Raw genomic sequence first — 23,394 nt, 5'->3', positions numbered from 1 at the left:
TGCATACACTAAACCAGTAACTATCATGCAATCATTAACCCTGGCCCATAGGGCTGCAGGCCACCCCTCCCTTCAACAGCTCCCTTCTTTTCAATTACTACAGTGAGTGTGGTGCATTTAAACTTCCTTTTTGACTTCAGTGCCCCAAAGATGGAGCTTCAAGTCTCAGGGGTTTTTTTTCTTCTTATACACTGTAGCCAACAAGAGACACAAATCAGTGGAATTTAAACTCCATTTCTGATCTAGCTTTGTGTTTCAGGATACATGAGGCAGAGATGGCCAGCACACTCAGATTCTTTGGTCACTAAGTTTCTAATTGATTTACTGTGTTTCTGGCATCTTCAGACATCTACAAAGGAAGGCATGATGGAAACAATGTTCTGCTTTAAATGCTCTGGTCAGCCTAAGGTGAAAGCAGGAGATATGGACAGGCATCCTGAGAAACAATCCATGCTATAACTTGTCTGAAGCCCACAAAGTTCTCTCTGACCATCATACAGAAAGAGAAATAGCAATATCTTTACTTTTAGCCAACGAGACAAGATTCTTTGGGGGCTGTAATGAAAAAATCATTCTTTTCATCCCATTCTAATTGCTCCTGCTCTTTTTAGCTGATGTCTACCAAATTATTGTTTAAATAATATTACTTATTATTCAGCTACTTAGTTAATAAAGAACATAGACCAAAAAACAGTGCAGATCACTTTGTATTTATTACATTACTGAACTTTTTCAAATGACAGAATTCAACTCCAAAATAAAGTAATAAATGCCTATTAAATAATTATTCACTTGTATTTTTCTCTCCTAAAATTTTAACACAGCAAAACATCTTAAAGACATGTGAATAGGTTCAGTGCACTCTCAGTGGCTCACAATCATGAGGCAAATACTACATTTATCCATAAAAATATAAGATAAACAGATCAATATTTTAAAATATTGCTGACATAAAAGGAAAAAATAAAATACTACACTTTTACCACAATTATTTTGGTAGATGATAGTAGAACATTGTTTAAAATAATGCTCCTCTACAGGACACATGCTGTGCTTGGTATACTTGGCACATTAGCAGTTGGTAACTGCTCAGCTTCCATCTGCAGTTTCTCTAGCAGGACCCTTACTCAGGCCCACTTTCAAACCCTGAGCTCTGATCTGCCTGCCTCCACAGGGACTATTCTGGTACCCTTCTTCCTCCGTCTACTCTTAAGGCTTTTCTGTCTTCCCTTATATTCCCCCAGATTCACACTTGCTGCCATCTCCATTTTCAGCAAAGATGCCTGGCACAAAACTCACAAAGCTGAGCACCTCCTCCATAGCTCTTACCCCAGATGTTGTCCCTTCACTGACTAAATTATGACTATTAGGTAAAGAGAATGAATCTACCCACAAAAATAATTTGGCCGGGCGCAGTGGCTCACGCCTGTAATCCCAGCACTTTGGGAGGCTGAGGCGGGCAGATCACCTGAGGTCGGGAGTTCGAGACCAGCCTGACCAACATGGAGAAACCTTGTCTCTACTAAAAATATAAAAAAATTAGCCGGGTGTGGTGGTGCATGCCTGTAATCCCAGCTACTAGGGAGGCTGAGGCAGGAGAATCGCTTGAACCTGGGAGGCAGAGGTTGCAGTGAGCGGAGATTGCACCATTACACTCTAGCCTGGGCAACAAGGGTGAAACTCTGTCTCAAAAAAAAAAACTCCCTACTTTACAGTCACATCTCCTGCAATGCAAAAATAAAGGTTGGTGGACACCTGATTTACAACTTAAAATATTCAGTGAGTTTAGACAGAATATATACTGCTCTGAAGTTCCTTAAAATCTGTTTTTCTATTATTGTTTGTTTTTAAAATCATAAAAATATAAAAAGTGTAAACTTTCTAATAAACATTCCAGTGAAACCCTGTTACACTACTTTTTATTTAGTGGGTCAGAAAGAACAAAAGTGACACCATGTTCCTTTGGGCAGACCCAAAATCATGCTCCCAGCCCTAAATCTACCATTACATGTCTCCCACCCATTAGACAGCTCTGTATGCCAAGCATGTCTCTCACGACAACTGCAGCTACCACTCATGAATACACCCTGTAACCAAGCAACAGATCTCCCTGGTAGCTGTCCATGTGCTCTCAGCATCTTACACCTATTGCTTCACACTCGACCTAGCCTCAGTAACTAGGCAAACATAGGGAAGTAAGGACACAAAAAATTGGAGCACCTCCTTTGTGACATGCTGCATTCCTTTGCAAAGTGAGAAGGCACTTCCTCTCTGTCAGAGTCACAGCAGAATTAGGTAAGGGGCGAGGCATGCTGCTGACAGAGGTAGGAATAAGGAGGGAGCTGATAAGGCTAGCTACCAGTGTCCACCACACCCCTGAAGTCAGCACACTCATTTCATCATGACACTGCTGAGAGCCTGGGGATGAATCTGATCTATTCAAAAGGAGGAACCTATTATGCAAGAAATTCCAGTCACTTATGACTCTTGTAGCAAGGCTTCACTGTATGTTTTTAAAAGAATAAAATTAAGATGTTATATATTTTTTAATGAATAACTTAAAAATTAATTGAGAAAGAAAATACTGCTTTTGTTTTTAGGGAGGAATACTCGACACAAATGACTAATGAAATCTATTAGATCTGGAGAATCCCCTTAGCTTCTTTATCAGCCATGATTAATGAGATAACCTAAAATCAGAATTCCTGACCTGGGTGATTAACAGTACCAATTAACCAGAGTATTAACTGCAATGACTTAAAATTGTATTACCTGAATAGTCTCCATGGTGAAGTGTCAGAAAAGGTGAAATAATAAATATTTTCCACAGCACCATAAGATTTTATAAAATACTATTTCAGTTAATGTACAACCTCAAGGTTTTGGTCCATCATTCATATATAGGCTTAACCTCTTTTACTGATAATAGTTCTGACAGAGGCCACACAGGCATAACTATAACATGAAAATGATATATTTTACTGAAGAACCTGTATGTTATACTTAGTCTCTGCTTCAGCTATATCCATTAAGTACTAGTGGATTCAAAGGCCAGGAAAAGATAGTTTTGCCATTTATACTCTAATCACAAATTTTCATTTGCCAAAAGGACCTAAGTAGTAACCAACTAAAATATTTGTCATAACTAAAAAGTCATTTTTGTATCTGTTTGCTTTGTTACTGTGTGCTCTTATGGGTTTTGTTTCTATATAAAATGGCTCTGAGTTTTCAAAATAAGAATAGAGTGATTTACTTTGAATTTTAAAATAACTCCAAGTGGAAAACAGACAAATTTTACAGCCAAACGATCTGAAATTATGTGTAACAGTTATCTATAATAAAAAATAGATCACAGATTGGATCCCCTCAATATCCAGCATGCTCATGGATCTCCTACAACTGTTAGTGTGTGCTATGCCAACTTAGTTCAACACTGATCTAAGCAAAACATAATCGAAAATATTGACTTCCCTACCAAAAACCATACACTACATTCCAAAGCCAAATATGAATTAAGTTTGAGATTATCAATTTCATGTCTCCCTTCCATTTAATGCAGAAAACTGAGACTTGGCTTTATTACAAATTAGCTAGCACTAGAGTAAACGTGCTATAAAATTATTTATAACAAAATAAATATTTTCAGTCCCTCTACACACTAAGTGATATATAAATCATTAGCAGTTTATAACATTAGCTTAGGTCACTTTTTGAGGGACCTAAACATACTGTACAATCCTGAGTTAAAGGTTAGGGATACAGTTTTGGGGATCTTTCTTGACCAGGAATCACAAAGAAAACATATAAACCACACTTGTAATAATCCCCATTTTCATTAGAAGTACCATGAGTTCTTTTTACTTTGGTAAATAAGTTTATCTATGTAAACCATTGATCTTGATGGAGTAAAATTTAGCAGGGCTTCTGCTAGGATCCCTCCATCACCTTTTGACACTGATACAGTAAATAGTCAGGAAGAGTAGAACAGGAGGATCTGAACCACAGGGCTAATACATCTGCATGAACTCGGCAATGCAGTAAGCAGGGGATGGATGGGAGCAGCTGACAGGCCAATAGCCCTTCATTGCCTAAAACAAAACAAAAGTGAAAAATGATTTAATGCAAAAGGAGTTAAACAGACATTTCTCCAAGAAGATACACAAATGGCTAATAAGCACATGAAAAGATACTCAATATCACTAACCACTAAGGAGACTGCAAATTGAAACCACAGTGAGATACTATACTTCATACACATTAGGATGGCTAATATTAAAGAAAAAAACAGATAATAACAAATGATGATGAAGACGTGGAGAAACTGGAACCCTGGTACATTGCTGGTGGGAATATAAAATGGTGCAGTTGCTGTGAAAATGATATGGTGGTTTCTCAAAGAATTAAATCTAGGCCAGGTGCAGTAGTTCACACCTGTAATCCCAGCACTTTGGGAGGCTGAGGCGGGCAGATCACTTAAGCTCAGGAGTTCTAGACCTGCCTAGGCAATATGGTGAAACCCCATCTCTACTAAAAAATACAAAAAATTAGCTGAGCATGGTGCCACACACCTGTAATCCTAGCTACTCGGGAGGCTGAGGCACGAGAATAGCTTGAACACGGAAGGTGGAGGTTGCAGTGAGCTCAGATCGCACCACTGTACTCCAGCATGGGTAACAAAGTGAGCCTCTGTCTCAAAAAAAAAAATTAAATCTAAAATTATCATATAATCCACCAATTCCACTTCTGGGTATATAACCAAATAAAGAACTGAAAGCAGGGACACAAACAGGTATTTGTATAACCTTGTTCATAGCAGCATTACTCACCATAGCCAAAAAGTGGAAGTAACCCAAGTATCCATTTACAGATGAATGGATAAACAAAATGTATCACATTAAAATTCGGACACATTCTACAACATGGATCAACCTTGAAGATATTATGCTCAGTGAAATAAGCCAGATACAAAGGGACAAGTATTGTATGATTCCACTTATATAAGGTACCTAACACAGTCAAGTTCATAGAGACAAGAGGTAAAATGGTAGTTGCCAAGAGGTGGAGAGGAAGGGGAAAGGCGGAGTTAGTGTTTAATGGGTATAGTGTTCCAGTTGAGGAGGATAAAAAAGTTCTGAAGATAGATGATGGTGACAGTTGCACAACAGTGTAAATACACTTAATGCCACTTAACTATATGTTTAAAAATTGTTAAAATGGTATATTTTATGTATGTATATTTTCCAATAAAAAATTATTTAATACAGTCTGAAAAACACATTCATCTGAAAGACAGTCATAATAGGAAATAAAGCTCTGAGAAATCTGATACTTGTAAGAGTTGATTTGTGTTCCAATTATAAGAAAGCTCCTATAAACACAGAATAGCCTTTTTATAACTCTACAAACCTATAATCTCAATAATATGGAGTCTTAGTTTCTGTTGCAGAGTCTTTAGTGCAGAAGGAAGTGCAGCTTGAGATTCTGACATTTTTACATTTTGTTTCACATCATTTGCGAAGGATAACCAGAGTTTCCCAAAGTCGTCACTTGAGATTTTTAATGGTCTGAAAATAATTTTTAAAATTAGATATATGTCAAAAACAGTGAAATGATTCTAAACAACAAATTTCAAATGCCTCATGAGAATAAAACATAATCATTGTAAATCTGGGTCCCATAAGATTTATGTCTTTAAACCAAATATGCTAAAAATGGTTAGTATCATCCTCCAACCTGATGAAAATACTGAAAGCAGGTATATTATTAAATTTAAAATATCATTTCAATAAACCACTCAGTTATCTCTCTTTCTACTAGTCATTCCAGTAAGATTTTACCAAGTAATTTCATAAATCATTCAACTATAATACAGAACTTTTCTTTCATATTTACTTTGAATTTGGGGATAATGGGATACTCTATCAAAGTTATGAAAAAGAACATGAATACAAAGATCTTGCACCTTAAGTAAATTAGACCAAAAGAAAGAATTTTAACAAACACATTTTTTAAATGGTTCAGGAGACCTCCACAATCACACAACGTAAGTTTTTTGAAGGCTGGATTTTATCCTATCAGCACCACAGGCATACAGTACTGTAATAGACTGACAGTTATGTTATTACTAAAAGACTTTAAAGAATGGGGAAAGCTGGGCATGGTAGCCCTCGTCCCTAATCCCAGCACCTTGGGAGGCCGAGGCAGACAGATCGCTTGAGCCCAACAGTTTGAGACTAGCCTGAGCAACATGGCAAAACCCTATCTCTACAAAAAACACAAAAATTAGCTGGCATGGTGACATATTCCTGTAGTCCCAGCTACTCAGGAGCCTGAGGTGGGAGGATCAATTGAGCCTGGGAGGTCGAGGCTACAGTGAGCCATAGTGTGCCACTGCACTCCAGCCTGGGTGACACAGCAAGACCCTGTTTAAAAAAAAAAAAAAAAAAAAGAATGAACAAAAACGAGAGCATTGTATTGTAACAGAAGTGACATGTGGAGGTTAAAAAAATATATAGAGATATTCATCGGTATTCTGCATTCTGGGTTCAGGCAGCCTTCATATTTTTAATGTTCAAAAACAGTACAATACATTTATAAAACAAAATTAGAGCAGGTAAGATATTGTTTTCAATTATTTTGGTAACACTGTACAGTGCCCAGTATAATGGTAAAAACTGCATGTTTAATAATAGTTTAATAACACATCACACTCTGGGGACTGTTGTGGGGTGGGGGGAGGGGGAAGGGATAGCTTTAGGAGATATACCTACTGCCAAATGACGAGTTAATGGGTGCAGCACACCAGCATGGCACATGTATACATATGTAACTAACCTACACATTGTGCACATGTACCCTAAAACTTAAAGTATAATAATAAAAAAAAGTTTAATAACTATGTCAAGCAATTTTCTTACATTTCTCTAAAGCTTAACAAACAAATTTTATGAAATAATTGAATAAAATACAAATGAGAGAAACTTTTAAAAGCCATGCAGAATCTTCGGAGTTATTTAGTTTAAATAATACTTTTTCTCACAAGCTTTACCAGGTCACCAACCAACTCCAACCTAAATCAGGTCTCTCATTATAATCCCTCATTGTAACACTTATTTTCTCTTCATAGCACAATTCATAATTACATATGTATTTATGTAATTGCTCCATGTCTCCTCCATAGACTAGAAATTCCTCTAACGTAGGAACTGTGCGTAGTTTTTAACTGTTATACTCCCTAGCACCCAACATAGTGCCTCCATCCAGAGAAGAGGTCTAAAAAATAGTTGGTGAATTAACAACTTGAATTAACATTTCACAAAACATTTACCTAATGAAATCTAATAGTGATAAGTTTACAGAAAATTCCAGCTGAGCAGAATGAGTATCCATCATATGATAACTAATAAAACCAGTAAGATTTCCTTCTGTAAAAGGTTTTTCTATCTGCACACTATATTGAAAGCTTTTGGTGCTTTCTGCTTCCATTACAGGCAAACAGCATCCAGGTTGCTCAGTCACCTGCAAATAGAAGTAATAAAAGTGTTGAAGAAGGAAGGGATCAATACAGACTATTACATGACTACCAATTTTCTATTTAATTGAAGTGGCACAAATCATACTAATATGGGAAGTTAATAACAAACTACATTATGAAGATGACTGGCAACTTCACTTGAGAAAAATTCACTAGAACAGATAATGAAATAATAATTGTACACAGGTCAAAATTATGTTAACAAATGGCATTACAGTTAAAACTGTAAATGTCCTGGCTGGTCCTGGGTTTTTAAAGATAGGAGAGTTTTCAAATAATTTTTAAAAGAATTTAAATATAAATATAAATACAAATACAGATGTCATCTATTCTCATTCTCTACCCTCAAGCTTTGGTGGTAGAGTTAAAGCAACTGGGAAGGGTTTGGTCTGTTTTTTTAAGTTCCACAGATGATTCTTTTTTTTTGAGATGGAGTCTCACTCTGTCACCCAGGCTAGAGTGCAATGGTGCAATCTTGGCTCACTGCAACCTCCGTCTCCCAGGTTCAAGCAATTCTCCTGCCTCAGCCTCCTGAGTAGCTGGGATTACAGGTGCGTACCACCATGCCCAGCTAATTTTTGTATTTTTAGTAGAGACAGGGCTTCACCATGTTGGTCAGGCTGGTCTCAAACTCCTGACCTCGTGATCCACCCACCTCAGCCTCCCAAAGTGCTGGGATTACAGGCATAAGCCACCGCACCTGGCCCCACAGGTGATTCTAAAGCACATCTAGTATCAGGAATTTTTGCTCTGGTCAGTGGCCCAGACAATATCCCATTCAACACATTCTAGCTCATAGAAGAAACTGGGCCAGTTTTGTGGAAGATAAATATACTAGTCAAATCTCATTATAAATCCACCAAGGACATCCATACAATAATGCAATTAAACATACTTCCAGCAATCACAATGGCAATCTGTTAGAGCTAGGGAAGAAAGAGAACTGATGTCTGAGCACTTGGTATATAAAAATAAATTGGTGAGAGAAAGAAGTAAGCAGTATACACATTTATTCTTCAATATCCTTACTCCTTAATCTTCTACTTTGCTAAATAATTTGAGAATTTCGTTTTAGTGTTTATGACAAAAGTGAAGGAGACATTTAAAGAGCACAGGAAAAGAGAACACAAAATATACACTGAAAATAAAACAATAATACCTTTAAATTTTACCTTGAAATTTTCTGCAGGAAAAATTTCTAAGTCAGCACTTTTCAATTCCAAACCACTCTTATTAGTGACTGACCAGACCATCAATAAACAATCATCTTTCCAAATTTTATAAGAAGACACTGATATAGTTTCATTATTACAGACTTCCATAGCATTTGAGTGTATGTATTCAGTAGTTTCTTCCAAAAAAGATGAAGCTAAAGAGCTTTCCTTGGCAACTGAGGCTGCAGTAGATTGAGGAGGGTGAAAAATTTCCATGTTGTTATTAGCAAACAATGAAGGTGTAGACAGACTACAATATGAGAATTTCTCAACCAAGGGCAGTTCTGTGAGTGACTCAGAATCCAAAAGTTCTGAAGTGAGAGAAAATTTCTTTAATTCCTTGTCTCCTGTATCGTGCAAAGTATTCGAATAATAATCATCTTCATATGCCACATTTGACAAAGAACTAAAGGAAGAACAGGTCATATTATGAGTACTGGTTGTTTCGCCACTTTTAGCTTCTTTGACTTTTGATTTCCTTCTGAACTTGTGAGAGACAGTATCTGCTTTTCCCAGCTGCAAAAATAAAACATAATAATATAAAAAGAAATCATTCTACTAGTCATGAGTTTTAAACATTCATCTATAATTTCAAATCAGCAATATAACAATTTGCTAAGGTTCTATCTATAAAGAATAAATTAGTAAAGAATCAGAGATAAATAACATGTTAAGCCCTAAAATCCTGACAGCTATATAACTTTGAACTATTAGCTAAATCTTATTTCTCATAAAAAACACATGGAATCCGAAGAAGAAATAAGGTCCAAAAGTCAGTCATGAACAAAAAACTTGTTAGATTTCAGAATACTAGAGTATAGAACTGAACAAATTAAAAAGCAGTGAGAAACTTCACCATTTTTTGAGTTGCCATAGTTGTTCTGTATAAGCCTAAGTTACTCTTGAATGCAGGGATGACCCAACCTCTGTTTTAGTCATCTATAATAATCATGATTTCATGGCCTGTAAGTTAGTAAGCAGAAAGAAAAACTGGTTTTACCTCAAGAATTAACTGGCAGTAGCTGACTGGAACACTCAGCAGGAAAGAACTCAATAACTGACTAGTGATGTTTGCCACACATTCAGGAGATAGAATGGCAAACTTGACATCGTTGGTCCAAACTTTCTGAAGAATGGTCTGTGAATCTATGTAAGAGGAGTGATGGTTCAAGTGTTCCCTTGCCTAGCAAAGTTCTATTTAGAATCAGTGCAGCAGACTGGCACTACTCTCCACCTCCACTCCCCCGGGGGGCTTTGACACTACACAGCATCCTTTACATGATTCTAGTTGACCAGAATTCTAGTTCCCTTTTCTTATCTTCTCTGTCACTCTCCTCAAGCCCCAACACCTTCTTCCAACTCTGAACAGATGATTTTTGTCTCTTACCTCCAAATTCAGAAGTCACCTAATAAGAACTAACATTTTATTAACACAAAAACAAGGGGGCACAAAAACTACTGTAGTTATTTTCGATAGTTACTAATAACTATCAAATAGTAGTTATTTTCAGTAGTAATGGGACTCAAGGTAGATGTGTATTAGAGGTCAGGCATGGTGACTCATATCTGTAATCCCAGCACATTGGGAGGCTGAAGCAGGCGGATCACTTGAGGCCAGGAGTTCAAGACCAGCTTGGCCAACATGGTGAAACCCCGTCTCTACTGAAAAAAAAAAAAAAAAAAAAATTAGCCAGGCGTGGTAGCGCATGCCTGTAATCCCAGCTACTCGGGAGACTGAGGCAGGAGAATTGCTTGAACTTGGGAGGCAGAGGTTGCAGTAAGCTGAGATCGTGACACTGCACTCCAACCTGGGTAACAGAGCAAGATTCTGTCTCAAAAAAAAAAAAAAAAAAAAAAAAAAGATGTATATTAGACTGCTTGTTACTGTCCCCCAAGTCACTGATGCTCTCTGTTCCTTTTTTCTTTTTTTGGTCTTTTCTGGTCTTTTTTTTTTTTGGTCTATGTTTCATTTTGGATAGTTTCTATTACTTTGTCTTCAAGTTTAATGATCTTTTCTTCTGCATTGTCAATCTGTTATTATTCAGAAGCTATACATGCCAGAAGACACCGTAGTGACATCTTTGTTAAAATGCTTGAAGAAAAGAAACAGTTTAGCACTGCATACTCAGAAAAAAATGTCTTAAAAATGAAGGTGAGGCCGGGCATGGCGGCTCACACCTGCAATCCCAACACTTTGGGAGGCCAAGGGAGGCGAATCACTTGAAGTCGGGAGTTTGAGACCAGCCTGGCCAACATGGTGAAACCCCATCTCTACTAAAAATATAAAAATGAGCTCGGCGTGGTGGCACATGCCTGTAATCCCAGCTACTGGGGAGACTGAGACAGGCGAATTGAGGCGGAGGTTGCAGTGAGCCAATATCATGCCACTGCGCTCCAGCCTGGGTAACAGAGTAAGACTCTGTTTCAAAAAAAAAAAAAAAAGAAGGTGAAATAAGCCAAGGGTGAAAAAAATAATAAACCTTGGCCTTTCTAAAGTGATATAAAAAATTAATTCAAAATGGATCACAGACCTAAAAATAAAAGCTAGTTAAAATGAAATACATCAATAGAGCCTTGATGTATGAAACTGAGAACGCTAAACGTAAGAAAAATCAGTAGGGAACAGGATTTCTGAAGAAAAACAGCCATCCAAAATGAGGCATGACACAGAAGGAGCACATTCAGTTAGTCCCAATCCTGTCTGCTTTGCCCCAGTATCAGAGGAAGGGTCGGGGCTGAGAAGTGAGAGGATACATGCTAATTTTATGTCATTGTTAACTGTTCCTCCTTCTTTATGCATCTAAGTTACAACACAATTCCTTACGGAATTCAGGGTCTCATAAAACAGAGAAATACACTCCTTTTTCTACTCTTCAGTGATAGCTGGGTGGGAATGAGGGGGAATTATAAGGGGTAAGTCAAAAAGGATTTAGCATCATTAACAGAAAAAACATCCTAATAATATTTCCGATTTCAAACTCACCACAAAAAATCTAATATCACCCTGAATGTTCTCCTAAGGAAAAAATCTAACTGAAAGCTATGCACTTGTTAAATAGGCAGGAATACTTCTATACCAGCAATGAGGTTCACAAACCAGGGCTCCATGAGCCTGGGTGTAATCTGACTTTGGTGTGCTCTTACCAAGCATTCCACTGGTACCCACCCTCTCATCACAGCCTGCCAGAACAACTCAAAAACCCAAGATCAGTCACTTTACTGCTGATCTGCAAATGTCAACTCGGAAAATATTAAGATACATTAGTTATTAATATTTTTAGGCTGAATCTGTTTTTTCTTAAGAGAAAATATCAAGTCTGACAGAAATGGGATCTAGACTGGTGAGTCTAGAAAAGAAAGAGACAAAGATAAAGAGTATATAGTATGGTATACCATCTGGCCTGGTACTGACAGGAATGAAGGGGAAATTTCACCATGGGAGGAGGAGGATGAAAGACCTGGGATGTCACTCTAATCAAAATTTTGTACAAGGTGGGTTCATTAGCCACCAAAAGGAGGATACATTACATGGTATTCTCAGATGCTCAAAAACAGCACCTGTCCTTCACTCCAACTTGTCATTCTTTTACTATGAAAATAATTTCTCAGTATAAAAAGTTTAAAAATCATAATCTTAATATCTGAATATAATTATCATTTTTGTATAATTCCTTTCAGCCTTAGGTATAAACAAGGCATAAATAAAACTTTATACTCTGTACTTTTTGTTTAATATATCATTTAAGTATTTTTTCATTTTACAAAGCAATATTATTGATCATTCTTAGAGCTGAATAATGTTCTGGGAGAATAGAATTTATGTAATACAATTTTGAGGAGTACTTTTTACAAAGATATATCAATACTGTTGAACGATTATTATTCATCCCCCTTCCCTTTGAGAACTGCCCCGTCCACCCACAGGGGTGAGAGTGGCTGTGGTCATACCTGTAACCTTATTTGGAGCCTGACCCTTGTCCACTGACTGGGCTACAGAGAACACCTGACTCAAGTTGAGCCAACTGCATTTTCTCTTTCAGGAATATAAAAAGCTGTGTCATTAGTGGTTCTGGAGCTGGGAAATGATGGTGAGTAAGAACTGGGGAAGCCACTTTTCACTATACATATAGACGACAGCCAGGAGCTTTTATAGAGCCAGTTTTTTTTGTACAGACAGATGACAAAGATTCTTACAGGAATAGAACCGATTACTTACCAGGTTGATTGTACTTTCTGATCCTAGACCAACAAATAATGATGATGCCAGCAGCTGCTTTTCTTTCTCCTCTTTAGATTGGGTAAGAACTTGAGATTGATCCTTTTTAGTTATAGCTTGATCTACATTCTCCATTATACTCTCTTGAGGAACAGGCAGAGCTCCACTTTCATCACCAGTTTTGCTTTCCTTCTTGGGAAGATAGCCTTCTTTCCCCCACAATTTCTTTATACCTTCCAGCTTCAAGCTATTTGTCCTAAGGAGGTTGATAATAAAATCAAGTCAACTTAAATAACTGCTAATAGTTACTTTCTTGAGGCATTCTTTCAAAACATATCAATGCCCATGGCCTTTTAAAAACAACTGTCACATTATATTCTATATACCAGAAGTAAAACCTTGATCTCTAGATTTTATTTTAGTTATAGCCAACATCCCTCTACCCTCCAGTCAAAGGATTTGATTTAAGGCTGCAGAACTCCAGACTTAGTTAAAAATTTCAGAGCATTTAATTTTCACTTAACTGCTTAAGTTATACAAAAATAGAACTACTGTAAATCAGTTTCTTTCCTCCACTGACTTTTCAAAAATACCTTTAATTCTGATGGGTTAAAGATGAGAAATGATTGAAATTTCTTAGCAATATGAAGGAATTAAACCTATATAAATTCATTAAGTAAAATCCTGTTAAAAGCAAAAACATCATTCAAATTTACTCCTATGTATAAATTTACATTTTATTTTTTCTTTAGTTTTACAACCCAGGAAACATAAATTCAAGTTGCCCTGAATACATGCTCCCCATAAATTTACTTTAATCCAAAAGGTTTTTCTCACTATGCACATAGCAACATTTTCAACTATTATTAAGTGTACTTTTATCAAAATGCAATGAAGTTTTATCTAAAAAAGAAAAAAGTAAGATTTTGGGAAAAAGCCTGAGGCTGACAAATTTTTACACCTGAGTTGAAAAAGAATTAAAATATTGTTTAGGAGCCAGGTGTCCTACCCAAAAAGCCTAAACAAGGCATCTAGGCAGTTAAGTCCAGGGCCAAATTTAGAATCCTAATGTTGTCACAAAAGTTGCAGTTGTGAATCTGGAGTGACTAATAAGTGCGGGCTAAAATAGCCAAGGATCATCTCTATTATTCTCATATAAGAGCTATGTGTCCATTAATTAGTTTGATTGTGGTAATCATTTCACAATGTATATCAAAACATCACATAGCACACCTTAAATACATACCAATGACCCTTGAAAAATGGAGAGGGTTGGGGCACTGACTCCTTGTGTTGTCAAAAATCCACATGTAACTTTTGACTCCTCCAAAACTTAACTACTAATAGCCTACTGTTGACTGGAAGCCTTACTAATAACATAAACAGTCAATTAATACATAGACTAGTATCTATATATATTTTATGTATTCCTGACAATCTTATTGTTTCTTAATTTTTTGACATTCCTAGGGTACATGGTTTGTTGGAAAGTTTTTTCAAATTGTCTCAAGTCTGAAAAACTTTTTCCAATATATTTATTGAAGAAATCTGTGTATTAAGTGGACCCGCACAGTTTAACCCATATTGTTCAAGGGTCAAATATACAATGTTTATTTGGCAATTATATCTCAATAACACTGGAGTTAAAAAAAAAAAAAAAAAAGAACTATGTGTCCTTGGCACTTGACTTATTTAAGCATCTCTGTCATGGTCCAAAATGGCATTTTTAAAAAATCATTTCTACTACAAGATGAGTTGATCATGAAATGAACAAAAAGGAAGACTCAGAAATATTTCTACTAATTATTATTAGTATTGAAATTGTTGGAATCATGATCAATGTGATTTTGAGCCCAAAACAAAACAAAAACAGGTAATTACACTTCATACTGAGTGAAGAATTAATGCTATTAAGAAGTAAGTAGCTACAGGAAAATCTGAATGTTAATAAAAAATGCCCTAAAGGGAATTGGTTCATTCCTTCTCAATGATTTTTACTGCTGAGTATCCCTTTACAAATATCTTCATTTCCCCCTTTCTTCCTCCAGGTTCTAAAAGAGTTTTCTAAAGAAAAAAAAAAGTTATATAATAAACCTCTTAGACAAAAATTGGTTGTACTTGCCATAAGCAGATCCCAAGTGGTCATGGGAACCACTAAAATAACTCCTACCATTTCTAGAATAGAATTCTCAAAAGAAGCACCTCTAGGGAATTCATGAATACCCACAATAGTATTATAGTATCTGTATACTCCCTTTAACCAAAATATTACCTTTATTTACAAAAAAAGAGAGAACAAGTCCCTAAATTTTACTAATCCATGATTTAAATAGTAGTTTAACAACAACAACAAAAGGCCGATGTGGAGGACAATGGGCTGCTCCATCCGGATCTCTCTTCAATGAAGGACTGTTGACCAGCTGTTGGGAATGCTGTCATCTCTCAGCCCCTTCAGGGATTGCCTGAGCTGCAGAGGGCTACTTCACGCAAGATCACACCCCTTCCAAGGCAGCCTACATCCAGTGATGGATGAATGGAAGTATAAAGTCCTTGCCATCCATCTCGGTCCAACTCAGCACAACTCTGAAGGGTCATTCCAGCTCCAGAGCTCCCCATGGGGTCAGCAGAGGTTGTCACCGGCAATGCATTGCATCTTAACTTCTGCCCAAACCTGCTTCTTTTTCCTTCCTTCTATAGATGTTGATCCCAACGACACTCCTAATTATTCTGCATACTAAATGCCATCACAGAATGTGCTTCCCAGGGAACTCAATCCACAACTGGCAAAAAGGGGCAGGAGGTACAAAAGGAGCCTAAAAGGAGCCTCAAACTATTTTAAAGATTTTTCTTATTTTCTTATTTATTTCATCTGCATACATACTTATGATCGACACAAATATTCTGTTAAGCATACATACAGACCATCTAAAAAGTGGGAAAATATGGCCAGGTGCAGTAGCTCACACCTGTAATGCCAGCACTGACGCTGAGGCAGGCGGATCACTTGAGCCCAGGAGTTCAAAACCAGCCTGGCCAACTTGGCAAAACACTGCCTCTACTAAAAACATAAAAATTAGCAGGGCATGGTGGCAGGCGTCTGTAATCCCGGCTTTGAATGTGTACTCCACATTCAAAGTCTGAGGCATGAGAACCTGGGAGAACCCACTAGAACCCAGGAAGCGGAGGATGCAGTGAGCCAAGATCATGTCACTGCACTCCAGTCTGGGTGACAGAATGAGACTTGTCTCAAATAATAATAATAATAATAATAATAATAATAAATTAAATAAATAATAAAAAATGGGAAAATACATAAGAAAGCAACATAAGGCCATTTCATATAAAAAATATGCTTCTTAATTATATGAAACATTAGAAAAATAATATTTTTAAACATGAGTCATCTTTGCCCGGATTTTGACAATACTATTATATAATACATGGTTTTCTACGGTGTGCCCTTGTATTGTTTTTATTCAGACCATTCAAACATAGATGTAAATTCTGACCAAGTAACTAACCTTCAAAAGACTAGGGATGTACTTTAACTCAGCTCTAGGAATTCCCATTTGAGATAGGGTGCTGCCAGTTAAGAAATTATAAATTAGACTTGCTACTACTTTATTCTCAGGTTGCCAGGGACTGTAAAAGAGCAACTGTCTTCCCTCTAAGATGATTCACCTTGCCAATTACTATGTTCCTCTTCTGAAATAATGTGTGAGCTGAGGTCCTCTTTGGAAACAAATTTTAAATTCATCCCTTATCTTCCATTTCACAATACTGCAGGATATATTATATAATTCCTTAGCAGTTTTGCCAAATGTCATTTCTCTGAGGGTAGTAGATGTATATGTATGGCATTTACAAGGCCCTGTCACACCCCCCAGATCCTAGTTCAGTACTATAGTAGTAGATGCTGTCACCTGTTGTGCAGGTAAAAGTGTGTAAGTTCCTCCCTGGGTTTGAAGGGTTCCTGTCTCTTTCCCTTGTCCCTTTGGTCCCTGTTTGGGACACTTAATTGCTGTCACCTCCATCATCAAATGCCCACAAACAATATTTGCTCCCCATGCTTGGAGTATCAAAATTAAATATCTGGGAAAGAAAATAAGGAGGTTAACAGAGCAGGAAAAAAAAAAAAGATAAGAAAAAGAATTTGAACTCATGCCATTTCATTCAACATATTCTACATTCCTCATGATCTATTATTAGTATCTTTCTTCTGATAAATACTTGTAACCATTTCATTGAACAACAGACAAATGTAAGGATGAACATAAAATAAGATGACTGATTTCTTAATAAATACAGAAGAACTCAAAATTCAAATGTCATCCTTTAAAGTTGTCACTTTTGAGATTTTATCACATTTATTCCAACAATGCGGCCATTACTTAAAACATTTTTAACTCTATTAGATGCAGCTTCTTCCCAAACAAGAAAGCCATTTCCTTACTTTACTGTCGCATCAGAATATTGATCAAAATTATACAGATTGATCACAAATATTATCTGGTAAACTCACCTCTTGGGTAATGAAGACAATGATGGTAATGACAATCATTATTAATAACAGCAACTACCATTTATCAATCACTTACTATGAACTGGGCTGTACTATGTACTTACAAATGTCATCTCATTTTATTCACTTAATTATGTTTCTAAAGGTAACTAATTATGTTTCCAAAATCAAAGTATACCTAACAAGGATGAAATTCGGCTCCAAATAAGACATTTTAGCAAATGCTCACCAATTTTCAAGGTGGCTGGAAAGTAACTCTGAAAGCATTTTCAGCAAAGTATACAGCTTCCATAGGTGACTACGGATGGTCCCTGACTTACAATAGTTCAATTTAATGATTTTTTGGCTTTACAACGGTGTGAAAGCAATAGAGTTTCACAGAAACCATACTTCAAATTTTGAACTTTTATCTTTTCCCAGGCTAGCAATATGTGATAGGATATTCTCTTGCAATGCAGAGATAATAATGAGCTAATACAATAATAAATAGGCTGGGCACGGTGGCTCATACTTGTAATCCCAGCACTTTGGGAGGCCGAGGTGGGTGGAGCACTTGAGGCCAGTAGTTTGAGACCAGCCTGGCCAACATGGTGAAACCCATCTCTACTAAAAATACAAAAAATTAGCCGGGTATGGTGGCAGGAGCCTGTAATCCCAGCTACTCGGAAGGCTGAGGCAGGAGAATTGCCTGAGCCCAGAAGGCAGAGGTTGCAGTGAATCGAGATCATGCCACTGCACTCCAGCCTAGGCAATAAGAGTGAAATTGTGTCTCAAAAAAATAATAACAATAAAATAAAATAATAAACAATAATGGGCCAATGATCAGCAGAACTGAGTTCTAGACATACATCTGCTGTTTGGTAGATCACTTCTGACTTACGATATTTTCAATTTATAATGGGTTTATCAGAATGTAACCCCATCATAAGTTTAGGGGCATCTGGCCTTCACTGGGTGACCAACTATATGGCTTCCTCAGGTGAAATCAATCACCTTATTTTATGTTCACCTCTATATCTATCAATGTTCCAATGAGACGGTTACAAGATATATTTATCAGAAGAATGAGGAATGTAGAATGATATGTTAAACATCAGCCTGGATGTATAAATTCTAATATGCTTCTAAATATATATATATAATATGTAGCAATAACACATATTATTACTACGTATAAAGCTTGTACATATTTTATGCTGTCTTGGAAGGTAGATAAGCTCTTAAAGAACATACTGTACAATATAAATACCTTAAGAGCAATAAATAGAAACCACTGAAACAACAGCCCATACAATTTAGCTTTTAAAAACCTTTCTAAACCATTATATTAAAACACATTGTCACAAGTGTGTCTCTCCCTTTGAAAATTATGTGAAAACCTAGTTGGAAGTAAAGCACTCCTCAGCAAATGTAAAAACAGAAATTATAACAAACTGTCTCTCAGATCACAGTGCAATCAAACTAGAACTCAGGATTAAGAAACTCACTCAAAACCGCTCAACTACATGGAAACTGAACAATCTGCTCCTGAATGACTACTGGGTACATAACGAAATGAAGGCAGAAATAAAGATGTTCTTTGAAACCAATAAGAACAAAGACACAACATACCAGAATCTCTGGGACACATTTAAAGTAGTGTGTAGAGGGAAATTTATAGCACTAAATGCCCACAAGAGAAAGCAGGAAAGATCTAAAATTGACACCCTAACATCACAATTAAAAGAACTAGAGAAGCAAGAGCAAACACATTCAAAAGCTGGCAGAAGGCAAGAAATAACTAAGATCAGAGCAGAGCTGAAGGAAATAGAGACACAAAAAACCCTTCAAAAAATCAGTGAATCCAGGAGCTGGTTTTTTGAAAAGATCAACAAAATTGATAGACCGCTAGCAAGACTAATAAAAAAAGAGAAGAATCAAATAGATGCAATAAAAAATGATAAAGGGGATATCACCACCGATCCCACAGAAATACAAACTATCATCAGAGAATACTATAAACACCTCTACGCAAATAAACTAGAAAATCTAGAAGAAATGGATAAATTCCTGGACACATACAGCCTCCCAAGGCTAAACCAGGAAGAAGTTGAATCTCTGAGTAGACCAATAACAGGCTCTGAAATTGAGGCAATAATTAATAGCTTACCAACCAAAAAAAGTCCAGGACCAGACGGATTCACAGCTGAATTCTACCAGAGGTACAAGGAGGAGCTAGTACCATTCCTTCTGAAACTATTCCAATCAATAGAAAAAGAGGGAATCCTCCCTAACTCATTTTATGAGGCCAGCATCATCCTGATACCAAAGCCTAGCAGAGACACAACCAAAAAAGAGAATTTTAGACCAATATCCCTGATGAACATCGATGCAAAAATCCTCAATAAAATACTGGCAAACCAAATCCAGCAGCACATCAAAAAGATTATCCACCATGATCAAGTGGGCTTCATCCCTGGGATGCAAGGCTGGTTCAATATACACAAATCAATAAACGTAATCCAGCATATAAACAGAACCAAAGACAAAAACCACATGATTATCTCAATAGATGCAGAAAAGGCCTTTGACAAAATTCAACAGCGCTTCATGCTAAAAACTCTCAATAAATTAGGTATTGATGGGACGTATCTCAAAATAATAAGAGCTATTTATGACAAACCCACAGCCAATATCATACTGAATGGGCAAAAACTGGAAGCATTCCCTTTGAAAAGTGGCACAAGACAGGGATGCCCTCTCTCACCACTCCTATTCAACACAGTGTTGGAAGTTCTGGCCAGGGCAATCAGGCAGGAGAAAGAAATAAAAGGTATTCAATCAGGAAAAGAGGAAGTCAAATTGTCCCTGTTTGCAGATGACATGATTGTATATCTAGAAAACCCCACAGTCTCAGCCCAAAATCTCCTTAAGCTGATAAGCAACTTCAGCAAAGTCTCAGGATACAAAATCAATGTGCAAAAATCACAAGCATTCTTATACACCAATAACAGACAGAGAGCCAAATCATGAGTGAACTCCCATTCACAATTGCTTCAAAGAGAATAAAATACCTAGGAATCCAACTTACAAGCAATGTGAAGGACCTCTTCAAGCAGAACTACAAACCACTGCTCAAAGAAATAAATGAGGATACAAACAAATGGAAGAACATTCCATGCTCATGGGTAGGAAGAATCAATATTGTGAAAATGGCCATATTGCCCAAGGTAATTTATAGATTCAATGCCATCCCCATCAAGCTACCAATGACTGTCTTCACAGAATTGGAAAAAACTACTTTAAAGTTCATATGGAATCAAAAAAGAGCCCGCATTGCCAAGTCAATCCTAAGCCAAAAGAACAAAGCTGGAGGCATCACTCTACCTGACTTCAAGCTACACTACAAGACTACAGTAACCAAAACAGCATGGTACTGGTACCAAAACAGAGATATAGACCAATGGAACAGAACAGAGCCCTCAGAAATAATACCACACATCTACAACCATCTGATCTTTGACAAACCTGACAAAAACAAGAAATGGGGAAAGGATTCCCTATTTAATAAATGGTGCTGGGAAAACTGGCTAGCCACATGTAGAAAGCTGAAACTGGATCCCTTCCTTACACCTTATACAAAAATTAATTCAAGATGGGATTAAAGACTTAAATGTTAGACCTAAAACCATAAAAATCCTAGAAGAAAACCTAGGCAATACCATTCAGGACGTAGGCATGGGCAAAGACTTCATGTCTAAAACACCAAAAGCAATGGCAACAAAAGCCAAAATTGACAAATGGGATCTAATTAAACGAAAGAGCTTCTGCACAGCAAAAGAAACTAACATCAGAGTGAACAGGCAACCTACAGAATGGGAAAAAATTTTTGCAATCTACTCATCTGACAAAGGGCTAATATCCAGAATCTACAAAGAACTCAAACAAATTTACAAGAAAAAAAACAAACAACCCCATCAAAAAGTGGGTGAAGGATATGAACAGACACTTCTCAAAAGAAGACATTTATGCAGCCAAAACACACATGAAAAAATGCTCGTCATCACTGGCTATCAGAGGAATGCAAATCAAAACCACAATGAGATACCATCTCACACCAGTTAGAATGGTGATCATTAAAAAGTCAGGAAACAACAGGTGCTGGAGAGGATGTGGAGAAATAGGAACACTTTTACACTGTTGGTGGGACTGTAAACTAGTTCAACCATTGTGGAAGACAGTGTGGTGATTCCTCAAGGATCTAGAACTAGAAATACCATTTGACCCAGCAATCCCATTACTGGGTATATACCCAAAGGAGTATAAATCATGCTGCTATAAAGACACATGCACACGTATGTTTACTGCGGCACTATTCACAATAGCAAAGACTTGGAACCAACCCAAATGTCCATCAATGATAGACTGGATTAAGAAAATGTGGCACATATACACCATGGAATACTATGCAGCCATAAAAAAGGATGAGTTCATGTCCTTTGTAGGGACACGGATGAAGCTGGAAACCATCATTCTCAGCAAACTATCGCAAGGACAAAAAACCAAACACTGCATGTTCTCACTCATAGGTGGGAATTGAACATTGAGAACACTTGGACACAGGAAGGGGAACATCACACACCAGGGCCTGTTGTGGGGTGGGGGGAGGGGGAAGGGATAGTATTAGGAGATATACCTAATGTAAATGACGAGTTAATGGGTGCAGCACACCAACATGGCACACATGTATACATATGTAACAAACCTGCACGTTGTGAACCTGTACCCTAGAACTTAAAGTATAATTAAAAAAAAAGAAAATTATGTGAAAACCACTGAAACAATAGACCTCTTGAAAGTTATCCTAAAATAAGCAAATAATGACCATGATGATATGAGGCAGGAGCAGAAGGCAAATGGAACGCTAAAAGACATTTAAGCACTCCCATAACCTCAATTTTAATAAGAAATGAACTTACTCTTTCAGTCCTGTCTCAGCACTATTCCCAGATACATCTGAACCAAGAGAAATGCCAGCAGGAGACTGTCGTCCAGTGAAGCCAGATGAAGAAAAGGAGAGTCCATATGGTTCAAAATTGAGAACTAGAATTTTAAAATAATAACAGAGGTTCATATTTAAAACAAAGCAAAAAACTGTCAAAGTTACCATTCACTACCACAATAATTCAAGCCTGGAACTAATAGCCATTTTTAAACTCTAAAGGACTTTGAGGATGATCTAATCAAATACTTACAGTAATAAATCAACTACCATTTGGTAAATGTCTACTGTAAGTCTTCATATTACTAGGTGATTAAAGACCAACTATCCTTTATTTTTACCTTTTTACCTCCCTTGGAAGCTAAAAAAAAACTCAATTAGGAAAGATAACTGATAAACCAAGTCTACTGAAAAGTCGCTGCTCCCATGCAAAAATGTTTAATGAGTTATAATGAAGAGGTGACCATGTTTTGCTGAACAAACTGCTCCTGGGTACATTCTCGTACCAAATGGATTGATAGAGTCCTCAACGTAAAATCTCCCTAAGGTTAACACAGATTCTGATTCCTTTTAATCTGTATAACCTAATTAATTCAATAAGAGCCAAGAAAATTCATGTTGTTACTGTGGTAGGACAGATGCCAATATCCACTCTCCCTTTCTTTCTATGTAATAAACCCCTCAATTCTTATCTAGATCATGACCACCCAGAGACATTTACAAACACCTTTGTCATATGACTGAGGTCTAGCCTATGAAATTATACACATATTTTGTTTGCAACTTCTGGAAGGAGTCCTCTTGGAATAAAAGACAATCTTTCTTCTCCCCCTTTCTCTTCCCTGCTGGCTAGACTGCAACATGATTGCTGGGGCATAAGCAGCCATCTTGGATCATAAAGTGGAACACCAAAGATGCCAGAACAGC

At 37.0% G+C, this 23,394-nt stretch overlaps 1 protein-coding gene across 8 annotated transcripts in view, besides 1 other annotated feature; it reads right to left on the bottom strand.

Annotated features, from left to right (window-relative positions):
• AP4E1 (adaptor related protein complex 4 subunit epsilon 1) overlaps positions 695 to 23,394 on the bottom strand; it is a 98,404-nt gene continuing 75,704 nt past the window's right edge. For 7 of the 8 annotated variants that reach the window (XM_005254264.5, NM_001252127.2, NM_007347.5 and 4 more), the window contains 6 exons: positions 22,445 to 22,568; positions 12,965 to 13,220; positions 8,707 to 9,264; positions 7,328 to 7,518; positions 5,407 to 5,564; positions 695 to 4,088 (listed from right to left, as the gene is read on the bottom strand). In XM_005254264.5, the coding sequence (XP_005254321.1) occupies positions 3,928 to 4,088; positions 5,407 to 5,564; positions 7,328 to 7,518; positions 8,707 to 9,264; positions 12,965 to 13,220; positions 22,445 to 22,568 (1,448 nt within the window). In that variant the 3' untranslated portion in view covers positions 695 to 3,927. Of the gene's footprint in view, positions 4,089 to 5,406; positions 5,565 to 7,327; positions 7,519 to 8,706; positions 9,265 to 12,964; positions 13,221 to 22,444; positions 22,569 to 23,394 lie in introns of those variants that run through there. The other variant, XM_047432326.1, reaches the window with a different exon arrangement.
• Positions 2,121 to 2,366: a silencer, noted in NCBI's record as "fragment chr15:51296421-51296666 (GRCh37/hg19 assembly coordinates)". NCBI's record gives its function as "represses an EF-1alpha promoter that drives an FKBP-Casp9 reporter gene in an ReSE screen in HepG2 liver carcinoma cells {active_cell/tissue: HepG2}" and the evidence as "EXISTENCE:reporter gene assay evidence [ECO:0000049][PMID:32094911]".

This window comes from Homo sapiens, chromosome 15 (genome assembly GCF_000001405.40).
Source record: "Homo sapiens chromosome 15, GRCh38.p14 Primary Assembly".
NCBI classification, from domain to species: Eukaryota; Metazoa; Chordata; class Mammalia; order Primates; family Hominidae; genus Homo; species Homo sapiens.
This window is presented reverse-complemented; position numbering and strand designations above follow the sequence as displayed.